The 17,884-nt window shown below is 36.6% G+C and overlaps 1 protein-coding gene across 22 annotated transcripts in view; it reads left to right on the forward strand.

Annotated features, from left to right (window-relative positions):
- The window catches only part of NRG1 (neuregulin 1), a 1,134,802-nt gene that overhangs the window by 946,697 nt on the left and 170,221 nt on the right, over positions 1-17,884 (forward strand). For all 22 annotated transcript variants that reach the window (NM_001159999.3, NM_001159995.3, NM_001322201.2 and 19 more), the window contains exon 2: positions 9,887-10,064. In NM_001159999.3, coding sequence (NP_001153471.1) covers positions 9,887-10,064 — 178 coding nt within the window. The remainder of the gene's footprint in view (positions 1-9,886; positions 10,065-17,884) is intronic.

Below are 17,884 nucleotides of genomic sequence, written 5' to 3' on the forward strand. Positions count from 1 at the left end.
GTATACCAGCCGTGTGACTATAGACAGGTTACTTTACCTCTCTGTTTCTGTTTCTTCATCTGTAAGTTGGTGATAATGGCAGTAATACATATCTCCTGGAGTTATCATAAAACTTAAAAACGTTAATGAGCATAAAGCTCTTAGAACAATGCCTGGCACATAGTAGGTACTCAAGTATCAGCTATTATTATTCAAAGGTGTTTATTGTTGAAAGTACTATATATATATATATATATATATATAATGTGTATATGTATACATTACATTCTACTATATATACTATATATAAATATACTGTAAATAAAAAGGACTTTATTTAACTTCATCTCATAGGCTTTGGAAATACATTATAGTTGTTTTAAGATTTTTATCTTTAGTCCCTAACTGTGAAGTACAGGGCAAGGAACTGTATAGAAAAGAGAGATTGCTAATTTCAATAAATAACTAATTTCAATTATCAGGGTGAAAAATTATCTCACCTAATAAACCTGCATTCATTTTCCCTTGTAGAATTTTACAGTATTGTAAATTTCTCACAGACAAATGTGGAGAGGTGATTTGGTTTACATAGCTCATTATAAGAACAAAAAATTTACTGTAGTGGCTATGAAATGGAGTGATCTTTCCCAGATTTTTAATCTACTGTCCTTCTCTCCATTTTCTGCCTCCACTTCAAACTTTGTAGAAAAACTAGGTATGGTAAAAAGTCCTAGGTTTAAGTTTTGGTTCTGCAACTTGTTAGACTTACGACATTAAGTTCCCCTATCAGTTTCCATCTCCTCACCTGTAAATGGAAACAATCATTAGGTACCTTACATGAAATACACACCAGAACTGTTGCAGATGAAAGGAGATTTGACCAAATAGTAATTTTGCGGATATGTAGTGACAACAAGGCACATTAACAGTTAAGGGAGCAAACCAGCATCTTGTAGACCATGGTCAATCAATGGAGAAGAGCAACTTTGACTTGAGGGCATAGGAGGTATGGTGGCTGACACTTATAATCCCAGCACTTTGGGAGGCTAGAGCAAGAGGATTCCTTGAAGAGGATTGCTTGAAGTGTTTGAGACCAGCCTGGGCAACATGAATCTCTGTATACAACAAAACAAAAAGCCCAGCGTGGTGGTGTGTGCCTGTGCCTGTGGTCCCAGCTATGTGAGAGGCTAAGGCAGGAGGATCACTTGAGCTTAAGATTCTGAGGCTGCAGTAAGCTGTGATCACATAACACCACTGCATTCTAGCCTGGGTGACAGAGTGAGACTCTGCCGCCAAAAAAAAAAAATTAAAGCAGAGAAGGTAATGTGCTTTTCTTGCAATAATACAAGAACCGTCTGACCACTCTGGGTAGACTCTGAAATTAGGTGAAATAAATGAGCTAGCAAGGAACATGACCAGGGTCTCGGCTGAGGCAGGGTCCAGTTTGAGAGTCCTCCAACAGTGATGGCCAGATAAGAGAAATACAGAACATGAAAACTTCAAAGTAAAGATAATACGACTTACTTGACAATTTTCCAGTTAGATTTACATGTCATTTTTGTTAGTGTCTGATGGCAGAGCGGCATAAGAGTCCTAGCCCAGTGGCATGCAGAACACAAACAATGTCACAGGGCCTCACGATTCCAAATAATAAAAAGTCATAGAGAAGATAGATGGGGCCTCTGGAATCATTTTGTACCTGGGTTTCTTCTTTGTCAGCATCTTCCAGATTCTTCCTCATCCTTTCAGCAGACACTTGAAGTCCTACTTTGGGTTAGGAGAGCCTGAGATCCTGTATATCTTCCATTCAATAAATTCAGAAATTTTGATGTTTAGGTATAGTATCAATCCAAATGGACACATACACAGTCAGGAAATAGCCTAACCCTCCAAATAGAGACTGTGACCCCCTGCTATTAACTTGCTGACCCTTGTTTGATTTCGTAGGGATAAATTCCTTGAATGGCCCTCTGTTTGTACATGTGGGTTTTTTTGTTTTGTTTTGTTTTGTTTTGTTTTGTTTTTTGAGACGGACTCTTGCCCTGTCACCCAGGCTGGAGTGCAGTGGTGTGCCCACTGCAATCTCTGCCTCCCCAGTTCAAATGATTCTCGTGCCTCGGCCTCCCTAGTAACTGGGATTACAGATGTGTGCCACAATGCTTGGCTAATTTTTGTATTTTTAGTAGAGATGGCGTTTCACCATGTTGGTCAGGCTGGCCTTGAACTCTTGATCTCAAGTGATCCATCTGCCTCGGCCTCCCAAAGAGCTGGGATTGCAGGTATGAGCCACCAGCGCCCAGCCCTCTACATGTTTTTTAAGTGCAGTCAGTTGAGTATGGTTTTCAGATGGAGAATCTGATTAATCATCTTCAATGGCCTTAGCATAAGCATTCTATTTAACTGAGCTGATTGTGGCTCATACCCTCAAATCAAATATCTTAAAGAATCATACTGTTTCAGTCATCGTGTAGCAGTTAATTGTGAGAAGTGAAACTTGGAGGACATCCGTATGTAAAATCCCCCACCAAAGGAAACCAATATGTTTGGGAAATCAAAATGAAGCACTAGTAAGAAGCCAACTCTGGCTGTAGTGGCACCACTGTGATGAGTGTTAGCATAAAATGCTGAAATACTGCCCCCAATTTTATTCTTTTATGTTGTATAATGAAACGTTCTATGCATGTTATGTGCTTGCAAAGAAATTATTCAGTAGTTCATATACACATCGTTGGATTACATAAGGAGCTGGACATGGAACTGCTAGAATGGAATTTCCAGAGTCCAGCCATCTTAACCCTACTTTGAAGCCTATTCCCAGTGTGTTTGCTGGTTGGATTTAGTTTGCTGCCAGTGGTAAAGAGAGTCAGCTTGAGAATATATTATAACAAAATACTGAATTTTATGGCAACTTTTATTTCAAATGAAGGTGCCATCCTCCTTCCTCAGTAGTCAGGGACAAATAGCAGCTCCATTCCAGCTCACAGGGAACCCTATTTAACTTGAATCAAGAACATTCTGTCTAAGCCTGATTCAGCTAGAGCACAGGGCGGGGTGAGCACAACATCACCACAGGTGGCAACAAATAATGATCTTGTTGGGCGATTCGGGATATAACCCAACATCACCCACTGCGTCAGTAGCAGGGCATTAAAACCTAGCTGCATTCCGAAATACCATTACCACTAGAATGTGCTGCCTTTTACACAGCTATATTTACACATTTGATAAGACAAACTTTCCCTTTTATAGCCAAATTTGTGAGTGCAGCTCAGAAGAGAAGACCAGATGGAAGAGCACAAAGTTTATCCACTCTGTTGCAGGACTGTAATCAACTTCGTGAGATAGTACAAGGAGAGAGAAATATGACTGGGGGAGTTTTGGAGACTCTCCATAGTAATTTATCTACTTCTAACATGACTATTAACAAAAGGACATCCTGCATAGAGGACTGATTAATGGTATTCGTGTGGCTTTCATTAGCTAACATAATTGTCAGTCACCGGTTGTCACTGTGGGATCTGCACATATGTGATGGTGGGCTTTTTACACATTTATGCAGGGAAGACTTAGCTGGGATCATAGCTGAAAGCTCATTGTTACTTGATAACATTTTGCAGGTTTCCTGTGTAATTTGTTCAATGTGTTGAGGCTCTTCAGATTAGCTGCACAAACGTGGAGAGTAAAGATATGAGCTAGCTTTGCATTGTCAGATCCTTCAGAGACCAGAAATAACAACTTACCTAGTGTCACATGCCATCAGCATATCTCTGCAGCAGACACATGCTAAAATTTGTTTCCTGTTCTTAACAATACAGTACAATATTCGATATAGCTGCACGAATAATATTTGAAAAATAAGGGCACAGTAGATGATCAAAACAAGAGGATTGCTTAGATGAATGAGGTTGTTTTTTTGGAAATTTATTTTGCCCTTACCACAAGTATTTTTTCACCCATTAAATTATTAGAATAAATGAACATGTTGCATTGAGTTTTTGTGGTGGTCAGAATATGAAATATAAGTATTTTTGGATTACAACCACATTTTTCTTCCCTAAATTGTGTGACATAGCAAATAGGAAAAGCAGAACACAAAAGTAGACTTTGGAAGTATACTTTGCATACCTGCATGTTTTGAGTTAGAGTCAGAGGAGTATATTTGTGATCTTTTAAGATATTTGAAAACACTTAAAGCCTGTAAAGAGAAGTATTCAAAAGAAGCTCCTGTGAAATGTGTGGCATTGCTCTGAAAGCATTTGCATGTCTGTTTTAAAAGGCTGTTCTTTGCACTGGACTGTCTGCCTCTGTTGATGCATTTCTAAGGATGTGGATATGTTTATATTAATGTCAAGCAAGTTTGAAATAGATTTAGGCACAGACTGCTTAAAACTTGCTCTGTTATTAAATTGTTTCAGGGTGTGGAACTACCGCCTCTCTAGAAACACATAGAGAGCAAAATTATGAACTGCGGTAGACCAAATACAATTAAATCATGCTTAAGATTCTCGGAACACCTCCTGCATTTGAAGCATTAACTTAGCCTTGAGCTTGCCTTCAACTAATTTTTAATTAACAGACCTTTTATGCTTAGATAAGACTTTCAAGACAAGTAAAAATTTTTTTGCACTTTTAAAATTCGAGTACTTACTTAACAAGAATTGACCCTAAGTTTAGGAACTACCATTGGCCTTATAAAGTTATTCCTGGGTATTAGAAGATACTTGGTGAATAGGTTTTATTTCAGTGAAATAAATGATATTGTTTCATGTGAGTAAACCATATGCCTGAGAAACACGTGTACATTGAAAATGAATTCTATTAACAGATAGCTATTTATATAATCTCTGACAAAAAGAAAATTTACTCTGTTGAAAATTGACTCATTATGGATAGATGAAAAAAAGTCATACAAACCACATGGGCTCAAATATTAGTTTGCACTTTTATAAGAATCTGTGAAATATTCAGGGCTATTCCAGTAGTCCTGGAAGACAAAAAGTTTGAAAAAATATCCATAAAGACAAAAAAAGGTTTAAAATTTTTGCCCTGTGTCCTTGATACTTGAATTTGAGCTCTGCCCTGAGTGAGCGAGAACCTTTGTATGGTCCTTGTCTAGAAGGTACCACTGACGGCAGAACATCCATAAGTCAAGGATGCAATTGTGCAGCTCTGTTGGTAGTACACAGATGTGTTTCTTCACTTACGCTATGGAGGATTTTGAGTTATCAACTTAAGAGAGCTGTTTTCTGAAAAGCTGGATATCCTCATGTCATAGAAGTTACCCCAGAAGGACGCAGCAGGGACATTATTACACCTGGACTTCTAGGGATGCAAAGTTAGAGTAGCTGTGAGCTTTTCCACATCTGATGATTTTGGAACTATGTGCAAGAGAGAGAAATTCAGGCTGGTCACTAGAGGTATCCTTGAACCGCAAACATCGAGAAATGTTCATACATCAGGGTCAGCTTAAGAGGGGATATTTTAGCTAAGAAGGACCTTGGATCTGAAGGTCTCTGCCTCATTGCATTGTAGATCATCTCGTAAGGCAAGGAATGTACCACTCTGCATATGGACCCCAAAAGGAAAGGAGAAGTGTTGACCTGCCCAATGAGTGATTGGTTTCCTTCCATCAAAAGACCATAGTGGGGTTGGGGCCCTGAAGTCACGATTGTGAGGATGAACCATGAGCATTTCAGTGCAATACCGCTTGCAGAATTTAAATGATTTAAATGAATGTAATGTTATTATTAATTAAATTTAACTTATAAATTATTAACTCAAATATTTACAAGAATTTCTTTCATGAATGCAAATTAACCAAGAGTTTAAAAATACTTAATGACATGAACATAAAGAAGAAACCTCCTTGAGAGCGGAGGGTGAGAAGAACGTGACGATTGAAAAACTGCCAGTTGGGTACTATGCTTATTACTTGGACGATGAAATCATCTGTGCAGCAAACCCCTGCAACACTCAATTTACCCATATAAAAATCTGCACATGTACCCCCTGCACCTAATATAAAAGTTAAAAAGAAAAAAAAGAAAAAAGAACAGACTAATGCACACACGCACACACAGACACACATACACACGTGCGTATTTAATGAAGCCTAGGTCTTTTATCTAATGGCAGAAAGATCAGATGAGAAAGGCAGAAAATCAGAGACAGACCAAGGCTCCCGGTTTTTTTTTTTTTCCTCTGTATGTGTTAGCATGTATATGTGTAAATGTATTTCTGTTTGCTAAACCATCTAAAGTTTAGTTGAAGACATCATGACATTTCACCCCTAAATGCTTAAGCAGATATTGTCTAAGAACAAGGAGATTCCTTTGCGTAACCACAACGCAGTGCTCCTGCTTGAGAAATTTAACTTTGATACAATATTTTTATTCAGATTTCCCCAGTAGTCCCAATAATATCCTATACAGCTCTTTTTCCCTTGGAGCAGGATCCAATCAGTAGCTCCACATTAGATTGACTTGCCATGTCTCTTTAATCTCCTTTAATCTAGATCACATTTACAGTCTTCTTTTGTTATTGATGACATTGATTTTAAAGCCTACTTCAGTTGTTTTATAGAATATCTCTCATTTTGAATTTGTCGTATTGTTTCCTCATGTTTGAAATCAAAACCCCTAATACAGAAATAAATAAACTAATGAAGACAGAAGGTGAAGAGGAAGGAGAGACGAGCTAGAGAGAGAAAAGAAGGAAAGAGAGGGGCAAACTGATTTTATGATAAAATGTTTATCAAAGGGGAAGAAAACAAAGTCTCCATAGATTTATGCTCAGACTATATTGATAAGCAAATATATGGAGTGGTAAGGGGGGAAACATGGTCCTTAAAGAGAAGGTATCTGAAGTATAGTTGACACTCAGACAATGTAGGCATTAGGGGTGCCAATCCCCTGTGTGGCCAAAAATTTAAGTATAACTTTTGACTCCCCCCAAACCTAACTACTAATAGCAGCCTACTGTTGACTGGAAGTCTTATCGATCACACAAACAGTTGATTAATAAATATTTTTAACTTATATGTATTATATATGGTATTCTTATAATACAGTAACATAAAGAAAATATTACAAGGAAGAGAAAATATATTTATTCATCAGGTGAAAGTGGATCATTATAAAGGTCTTCATCCTTGTCATCTTCATGTTGAGTAGGCTGAGGAGGAAGAGGAAGAGGCGGGCATTGGTCTTGCTGTCTCAGGGGCAGCAGAGACAGAAGAAAATTCATGTATAAGGCATTTTGCTTAGAGGCAAGGGAATAAACCTTGGAAGTTCTGGTGTGTTCCCAAGTTAAATGTAAAATCCAGAGGGGTGAAGAATTCAAACTAGTTATTTCAGTTTATAATAAATTAATGAGGCAATGTATTTTTTTAATATGTGTAAACCAGTTTTTGGTGTCATGTAGCACCGGCAGATTTGTTTCTTTAAAACCCTTCACCAGGCCATTGGCTCACACCTGTAATCCCAACATTCTGGGAGGCCAAGGCAGGCAGATTGTTTGAGCCCAGGATGTGGAGACCAGCTTGTCTAACATGGCGAAACTCTGTCTCTATGAAAAATACAACAGTTAGCCAGGGGTGGTATCATGCACTTCTGGTTCCAGTTACTCAGGAGGCTGAGGTGGGAGGATCACTTGAGCCCAATAGGTGGAGGTTGGAGTGAGCCATGATCATGCCACTGCACTCCAGCCTGTGCAACCGAGCAAGATCCTGTCTAAATAAATAAATAAATAAATCCCTTCACCAGGCTCACAAAATTAAAAATGATCTTAAGGAGTTAACAGAAATATGTAGACACTATTTCAGATAACATGAGAATTTAGTCTGTTTTAAAAAACCTGCAAAACAGAGATTCATGAACCACATTTTAAAAAGACTTCTATGAAAGCTCTTCAGAAAAAAATATTTTCAAGGTGTCAAAAAAAAAAAAAAAAAAAAGAACCAGACAAAATATTCAGGTATCAAGGGCTAAGAACAGCTAAAACATGTTTTCTAATTTGCCAGTGGCCAGTGTGTCAACTACATTAAATGGCTGCTTCTCCACCTCATCTCCCAGCCACCAAATAAATAATAAGGGGAATATGTAGCTGTAGGGGTACTGCTAAGAAATCACAGCATTCAAATGATTTTTTTCTGAAATTTATTGGAAACTTCGTATGTTCATTCTTGACATTTTTAGGATTTACTTGGCAAGGGCAGAATCGTAGAAAAACAAATAGAGTTCCCTGAGTAGGAAAGGTCTCCATTTCCTGTTCATGGTTAGGTGATCCTGATTACTGTCCTTGGAGTCTTGAGCCCCTTACCCGGTGAATAATTAGGTACGGAATCAGGGAGGTATAGACTCATTTGCCTGGGTTTGTTTTCTGGGAGTTTCTGTTTAACATTCCTGAACTGGAGCAGAAGTAGATTTTGTAGCTGGCTTTTCTGAGACTCAGGAAACAGAATTGTGGAATTCTCAGGTTCTGTGACATTTGTTGATTATTAAAGTGAAATTATGTGTGAGAGGAAAATTTATTCATCTATGCTTTTAAGAAATGTCTATGATAAACAGAATTAGACATACTATATAGAATTGCATAACACACCACCACATGTCCGTATTACCCAGTTTCCACAGTTATCAGCTTCTTGGTAATTGTTTTTCACCTTTATGCCTATCCATTTCCCACCACCATATTATTTTGAAGCAAATCTCGGATATTGTAACATTTTATCTGCAAGTATTTCGGTACATATTTTTAAGCAGTCTTGCTTAAAATAAGAATGGTATGTAGGTGTTTAATGTATTCTCCAAGCTAATGCATAATTTAAGTACTCACAGTCTCTGTTGAGACTATTTAGATGCACTAAATCCAATCAAAGAGAGAATTTGTTGTGAGTAGTGGTCATCTGGAATGGTCCATTCATTGTGTATGGGATAGAAACTCTGTAGGTCCAGTCAAAGAGTGATAGCATCAGAGAATTTCTGTCTTGAAGAAAGGAGCCATTGTTAAGATTGATGGGTTTTCTGTGTTCTTTGGTCCCCTCTGATGACAGGATAGTGAAATGAGCCCTAGCTCCGAGTACCCACAAACTTTGTAACCATGGATAAAGTCAGCCACTTACTTATCTCTGAAATTAAACTTCCCGATTTTAAAAATGGATGTGATGCTTCCTGCGCCTATTCACAGTACTGTGATACACTGTGATTTGGGATGTGAACACGCTTTAAAAATAATGGCCCGGTTACATATTCTCCTTTTTATTTTTTATTTTTTTTTAATTTCTTTTTGAAACAGAATCTCACTCTGTCACCCAGGCTGAAGTGCAGTGGTGGGATCATGGCTCACTGCAGCATTGACCTCCTGGGCTCAGGTGGTCCTTCCCCCTCAGCCTCCCAGGTAGCCGGGACTACAGGCACATGCCACCATGCCGAGCTAATTTTTGTATTTTCATAGAGATGGAGTTTCACCATGTTGCCCAAACTGGACTCCAACTTCTGAGGTCAAGTGATCCTCCTGCCTCAGCCTCCGTAAGTTGGGGGATTACAGGCGTGAACCACCGTGCCCAGCCTACATACGCTCCTTTAACACAGGCTTTTGGTTCTTTGAAATTACCAACATTCAGGATTCTTAATGGCATCAGAGAATATAAAGCTTGAAACTATCTAGAATTTTTTTAAGGAATAATTTTCTAATCTTGGTTCTCTGCTTCTGAGTATATTTTATTTGGGCATTTTATTTTTCTCCAAGATGAGATCCATTTTCGCTCATCCATTTTGAAATTGTTTTTCTCTCTGTTAATAAAACCTTTGGAATGGTGCCTTGATCAGGCTAACTCCAGATTAAATGTTTCTCTTTGAAAGATTGCCTGGTGATCAGAGTTGTTTTTCATTCTCTTTTCTTCTTTTAGCCTTGCCTCCCCGATTGAAAGAGATGAAAAGCCAGGAATCGGCTGCAGGTTCCAAACTAGTCCTTCGGTGTGAAACCAGTTCTGAATACTCCTCTCTCAGATTCAAGTGGTTCAAGAATGGGAATGAATTGAATCGAAAAAACAAACCACAAAATATCAAGATACAAAAAAAGCCAGGGTAAGTATAATGCATAAAATAGTAGAGACTGCCCCCAGCAATAAGATAACATATAAATGTTATTTAGACCCTAATAAGTGAATTTACTATCAGAAACATAATAGATAATAAGTGAAAAGCTGTTTCATTATATAATGACAAAAAATCATGTTATCACATAGGCAAGAATTCTTGTGGTTCTTACATCTTATTGATGAAGGAAATAAAGGATGGCTGGAGAAAGAACTGTAGGAAGTAAGAAGAGATGGAAGGGAAGAAGGAAGAGAGCATTAGTGGTAGATGCTGTCATAGTAATAGATCCTAAAATTCAATTTCTTGGCCGGGATGGTGGCTCACAACTGTAATCCCAGCTCTTTGGGAGGCCGAGGAGGGCAGATCACCTGAAGTCAGGAGTTCGAGACCAGCCTGGCCAACATGGTGAAACCCTGTCTCTACTAAAAACACAAAAAGTAGCTGGGAGTGGTGGGCGCCTGTAATCCCAGCTACTTGGAGGCTGAGTCAGGAGAATCACTTGAACCCGGGAGGTGGAGGTTGCAGTAAGCCAAGAGCACGCCACCGCACTCCAGCCTGGGCAACAGAGCGAGACTCCATCTCAAAAAAAAAAAAAATGCAATTTCTTTAAAATAAGACAAATGCATATGATAATTTAGAGTACCAGTGCCTTACACAGTTAAAATCACAACTTCATTGTAAAGCTCAGTGAATACTTAGATTTATGGAAAGAATTGGAATGTAACCAGTTGAATTCAGACTATTTTTTAACAAGGGGTTAATGATATAATTTTATCTAATAAGAATTTTTAACTGACACTGCTGATAAAGCACATCATCATTCTAGCAGATTTTAAAATTAGGTAATCTTAGGTAGCAAGAATTTTACATGTTCCTACCCTCCCCGAGGAGGTCCATATTTGACAGGGCTTCATGTGATTCCTGTAACATCTTGGTGGATGCATTCTGTATCTACTCTAAAATGATACTCTGTTATCATCCCTACACTCTTCATTCTTATTTACTTCCTTACTTAAGAATCATTTCTTCTAATATCAAACTACATTTTGAAATCAGAGAAGAGATAAGTGGATTAGATTTTTGCTTCTAAAGAGTCCTTTAATCAACGTGACATGTATAATAGTGGTTCCAAACTCAAAGATGATATTTTCTGCACTCACATCTCACAGGGTTCCAGTGAACCCCCAAGTATGGTAACAGAAGCAACAGAACAATCTCCTATACTTTGATTTTATAGGACATTAACCAGAAAGTTGTTACACATTCATGAGCAAAGTGATTACAATGAGAATTAAATTTAATCTTATCAAAGATTTTGCTCTGATGACTGTATTTTCTTTTCTAGTTTCTGTGGTTTTATTAGCTACATACTTTATTAACTACACGTTGACTCTAGTTATTGATCATGTCAGATAGATCTATAGCTTTGGAAGTATAATAAAGTGTAAAAGAAAGGGTTGTATCACTTTCTGCAGCAGGTGGTACTTCAAAGATACAAAATATAATACTGTAAAGAGACATGGCATTTTTATACCTAATATTACTAATTTTTTTTACATTATTCCAATATGTAGCAGTTCAGCAGCACATGGCAACTATCTTATTTTGCAGATTAGGAAATTGAGGGTCAAAAAAGTGTTCTGCTTTGCCTCAAGTCATATAACTAGTAAGAGACTCAGTGAGAGCTGAGTTTATCATTGTTATACCCATTAAAAATGTAATATACTGAGAATGAAATTAAGTTTCTTCCTGTAGATCATAGTGGTAATTAATGGTTCAAGTTAGATTTGAAATAGGTCTGACTCTAAGTCTCATGTTTAACAGCATATGTGCATGAGGGGAGGAGGAAATACAATGAATGAATTGAAAAGATAAGTATGATTCTTACAAAGAAGTTTAACAGGACAAAAAAATACTCCTAGATTTTGGATGGAATGGATTTTGGTGTTTGCTTTTCATCAGACAAGTTAGTAAGGAATGAAGTTATCTCTACATGCAGGGTAATGTCTCATTTATTTCTACGTGGCTGTCAAAGGATACCAGTAATATTTAAGTGCCCATGAAAGGTTTTATGCTAGGACTGTGGAGAAATTAAAGAGGTATAGGGCATTACAATCTCTGTGCCCAGGGGCGGGGGTCATAAGATTGTACAGAGATTATCTAGTTCAGTCTTATATGAAACATGGGAAATTTTGGAAGTTATGTATTGAAACACTGTTAGAGCAGGGGAGGAGGAAGGGAGGGAGGAGAATTTCATCTAGAAGAAAGCATCTCACATTGCAGATATTCAATCTGATGCTACCTGGAGAGAAGCAAATGAAGTTCGGTAGATAAGATGAGAAAATGAATTTTTTTAAAAAAGTGAACTGACTAGAATGAATAGGCTTTAGAAAAGGTACATGTATACTTAAAGAGGTAATTTGTTACCTGGCTTCAATGACATATAAAAGTATCATTAGTATTCAGAAAAGCATTTTCATATTGGCTTCATAGGTCCAGACAGCTAAGAGCACTGTCTACATATTAATAAAATCCCATTATACCAGAAAGGGCAATAGTTAGAAATTACTTCTTTTAAACAATAGTCTTGCTGGAAAGAATTAAATGGGGAAAAATGTATTGAAGTGATGCAACCATAAATCACTCGCAGCAAAGCAGTTAACATATTTGATCTAAAAATAAGACATACTTTGTATAGAGTGGACAGCTACTTGAGAAGCGATCATCTTATCAGTTTTTAGAATTGGGTATTTTGTCATTTCTAAAATTGTGTCTTTTTATAAAGAAGAGCATTGTCAGCTTTTTTAAGATTAAAGGTTCCAACTGAATCTCAATTTAATTAACATTTGCAAGGTGTTCTATTATTTCAATTTATCCAGTAAATATAAGTAGAAGGAATATAATTATTGTTATACCCATTTAAAACATTAATATCCTGAAAATGAAGGAAGCTGAGTTTCTTCCTGTAGATCATAGTGGTAATGAATTGTTAAACTTAGATTTGAAATAGGTCTGACTCTAAGTCTTGTGTTTTTTCAACAGACATTTGTGATTATGCTACATAAAGTTAGAAGTCAGAACATAGGGCTCTGGCATGCTTAGGATAATGTCTTTAATTAAAAGATTCTTATTTTTCAGATGCATTTATATATTACTATTAATGATTTTTAATTACTAAGATATTCAGACTATTAGTGTTTTGCAGTTGTTAGTTGGTTACTTGACTTAAACTTTTTCTTAGGCTATGATCAACCAAGCAGAGGTGAAGTTTAGTTTGAGGTGTAAGATTTTTCTGGGATTCTCTTTAATTAAATACTTTGACTCTTTCCCAATCCTTAGTCTTGGCTTCTTTTTCACACTTCTTATAATCAGATTATGCATAGCAGCCAACATATCCTTTTAATCTCTTGGTGTTTAGTGGCACAATTTCACAGCAATATGCAATTTCTATTATTTTGTAAAATCTTACCCTTGTTTTGCCCACGGTCCTACTAAAAACTACATTCCTACGTGTTCTTTGTATGATTTTTGAATTCCCATTGAGCCTTTGTTTATTTGGCTAACCCATGTGTGGGGCCAATGAAAAGAAATGGAAACTACCCTCATGTTATATGTCTGCTTATGTCTTTGTTCTTGTTTTCTTTGATTGGTGGATGATTTTGATCAAGAAAACTGGTTAAAAAGCTTGGCGTGTGACAGATTCATATGTAAGGACTGGCAGATTGACCTCATTTAAATACCTGTTCTATCTTAGCTTTATTAAAGACTGGCTTCCTATTATTTGTATGTTTCACACACTTTTGGACACCATTAATTTTGCCTCAGCTCTTACATATTTTAATTTTGTTTAAAATTGGCTGTCATTGGTTACATTGGACAAATATTACAATTATTTCCTCTATTTTTACTGGTTGCTTTTTTTGACTTTATAATGGAAAAAGTTTATGTGCATTTCTTTTCTCATATTAGCTGAGCAACTCTGGCAGATCACTTGAACTTTATATATAATGAAATCTCAATGTTCTTATGTAGAAAATGAGAATCCTCAGTGGCATTCCATATGGTTTATGTGAGGCACTTGGTACAGTGACTGGTTCTGTTGCTTAAGAAGCCTCTCTTTTAGCCAAGCACAGTGGTGTGTACCTGCAGTCCCTGCTACTGAGGATCTCTTGAGCGCAGGAGTTCAAGACCAGCCTGGGAAACATAGCAAGACCCCGTCTCTATACTTAAAAAAAAATCATAATTTCCTCTTTCACTTCTTTGTCCTTTTCACGATGATCAGTTTTACACTATCTGAAGCAGTGTTGGACACACACACACACACACACACACACACAAACACTGTCTATATAATTCCTTAGGGGTCAGGGAACCAAAACTGTATAAACAGAAGAGTTCTTCCCTATATGTGTTTAAGTTGCCTTAGCCTGTAACTATGGTAGAATAATCGAGTTAAAATAAAACTAAACTAAATAATAGCTAATGGAACCTTGAATTCACCTTGTAAGTGAGCACACAGTAAAAAACACAGTGTGCTTTCTGATATTAAAAAAATGAAAAGGAAATTAATATTCAGAACTTTTTATCTTCAAATCACTTCACATTAATTTATTTTTACACTGTACTGTTTTTTCTTATTCTAAAAGTAATGCATGCTTATTATGAAAATCCAAATATTTCAGGAATATAGAATGTAATTACTATAATAATAGCTAACACTTATTGGGAAGTTACTATATTGAAAAAATTATTTTAAACACTTTACACGAATTAACTCATTTAATATTTTTAGAAAATAAAAATCCATTGAAACACCAACCTTCCTCCAGATCCCTAGAAAACTCATCAATTAAAGAGCAAAAAGTTAAATTTATGACTATAAGGGAATCAAGTAGTCTTTCCAAGCTAATTTCCTTCTTATAGACAGAGTATGGTATCTTACAGAAAAGAAAAAAAGAAGACTGTTGTATCCATACTTATCAAAGCCCCAAATCTTTTTGCAATATATAATTTTCAAGGAAGATTTGGCTCATTCTACACTCTTACTACATTCTGTCCTTACTCTAGGACACAAGGCTGGATGAATCCCATAGTTAAATGTATCATTAGAATTCAGAGGGATGTTTATGCTCCTTGAGGTCAGTGGTTTTCCAATGATGTCTCTGTAGAGTCCTAAATTTCTATTGAATTGCAAAAAGGATTACCAGTCACTCTGACCTGGAACACTTTCTGTGTGATATTTTTGAATATGAGGTTCTGATTTAAGCTTTCATTTTAAAACAGGATTTTGTTGTAAAAAATAGTTGAAACCACTGATCTAATTTAATCTTTCTCTGCACAGAGATATTCTTGTAGGAATGTGCTTGGCAGGTGGCTATCCAGACTTGAATCTTTCCAAAGAGAAAACCTAACTCTTTCACAAGACACCCTATACATTTTTGAATGCTCAGAAAAGTGCTTCTATGTAATATCATTCAAAACATGTTTCCTTTTTCCTGTAAGACTTAGTTTTCCTGTAAGACTTAGCAATCCCAAATAATTTCCTTTTCCATATGCATCCTGGAAATATATTTAAATAGCTACTCATATTTCATTCATAGTTGTCTGCCAGTGGGACCTCTGTTTCTTTAACATAATCCTCTCTAGTGATAAGATTTCTAGGCCCTATTCAATTCTGATCACCCTCTTCTAAAGTCCTTTAATTATGTTTTTTTATCATCAAATATCATTCCAAAGTATATCCAAAGTATAATTCAGCATTCTAGATATGATCTAGCCGATGAGGAATGTATTGGGGCTTTTATCCAAGTTGATTGATGCTCTGCTTTAATATTAATTTGGCTAAAGAGTACATAAGGTTTTTTTTGTTATTCTTTCTTCTTAAAAATAGTTTTAAAAATGGGTTAATAATAAGCATGTGGCTAATTAGAAATCCTTATTTCTGCATATATTGTAGTCAAGGGATATCTCCTCTTGTATTTATGTCACCAGTTTTCGTACGTGAATGTACTTGTGATGCTTATCTCGATCAAATTGAATCTTAGTCTTGGCCCATTGATGTTCTGTCTTAGGATTCCCAAGGGTGTTCTCCATAGAAAAGATTCCATGGCCACATGTCATGGCTGCCTTAGAAATTCACAGTACAGATTTGCAAAAATTCACTGAGATGCATTGTTGTAAAGAGACCTATTTAACTTTTTTTAATGCAACATTTATTTTAGCATAGAACCATTTTTTTTAAATCTCTCTTTCTTTTAAAGCCTAACATTTGATTGCATTACTAGGAATAGTATTCCAGGAAACAGTGCCAAGGCCTATTAGGAGAAGTTTGATTTTAAGACTTATCCCTTTAAGATTATGTTAACTGTAAATATGATTACCATGTTTTCTTATAGTTCCATCTAGTTCAATAGTTAAAATGTTAATTGCATTGGGTCAAGAAAGGGGTCTTTACATACAAACACGATTGTTCCTAGATTTGTATAAATAGGAAAGAAAGGTTGTTCTTGAGGGTGTTGTAATAATCTTGGAGTTGTAAATTCTTGGGATGTTGTTGTAATCTTATCTCAGAATTTGGGGACTTAAGAAAAGCTACAGTTTTCTTACTTTAGAAATTTACTCCTTCTGTGGCATTGAAAATCAAGATACTATGCCCCACCCTGATATTGTTCATAATTTATCTATTATTGCTAGTGGTTTCATGGTTATACATGAAAATTCTTCCAGCAAACCATGCTAAATGTTGGGCTGGAAAATCTTACAGTGCTTATCCATTTTTTTCCTCACTATTTTTCAAAGGTACCTGTCATGAAGGAAACTTGTCATATATGATCAAAGTAGATATATAGCTGATAATCCATTTAAAAAATCATACGGTATTTGAACGCTCCAAAATTCAGCCCCAAAATTAATACAGCCTGCATTGGGTGATATTCTAATATTGTTTTATTTCGATAATTTTAAAAGTTGTCATATTTTATTGTTAAGACATATCTATTTGCAAAGATACTTGTCATCAAAAGGCCCATTTTGGCTTATAGGGATATACTTCAGGGAAGCTTTCCTATGAATAATGTCTCTGGTTGATGTGTGAATATTCTTTAAATGGCCCTTGGTGGTCTCCCCATTCCTAGATAGATAAGGCTGTTAAATTACATCCACTTTTTGTCAACTTTGTTCCGTGGACCATTATTTTCAGAAAACATTAACAGATATGCCTTGTGAATGAAAAGGATTCCATGGTCAAAGGAGTTTGAGAGAAAATAAATAATATATCCCTTTTCGGGGAGTCAGAGTACAACAGCATATTCAAGATGCTGAGAAATCCTGTGAGATTAAAGATAATGAAAAGCCTGTCTTTATTTCACCTAATATTTTCCAAATTTATTTGAATGTGGAACACATTGCTTTGTTACCTCATGTTTACCTGTTGACATCGAGTCCCGACTAGCGCAGTTAACTTTTCTTTTTCTTTTTCTTTGACCAAGTCTCACTCTGTCACCCAGGCTGGAGTGCAATGGTGTGGTCTCGGCTCACTGCAACCTCTGCCTCCCGGATTCAAATGATTCTCCCGCCTTAGTCTCCTGAGCAGCTGAGACTACAGGCTCATGCCACACACCTGGCTAATTTTTGTATTTTTAGTAGCGACAGGGTTTCACTATTTTGGCCAGGCTTGTCTTGAACTCCTGACCTCGTGATCTGTCTTCCTCGGCCTCCCAAAGTGCTGGGATTACAGGCGTGAGCCACTGCTCCCAGCCGTGAAGTTAACTTTTCAACCCCTATGTTGGTTTGACCACCACTGCCCCTGG

The sequence above is a fragment of the Homo sapiens genome, chromosome 8 (genome assembly GCF_000001405.40).
Source record: "Homo sapiens chromosome 8, GRCh38.p14 Primary Assembly".
In the NCBI taxonomy this organism is placed as follows: Eukaryota; Metazoa; Chordata; class Mammalia; order Primates; family Hominidae; genus Homo; species Homo sapiens.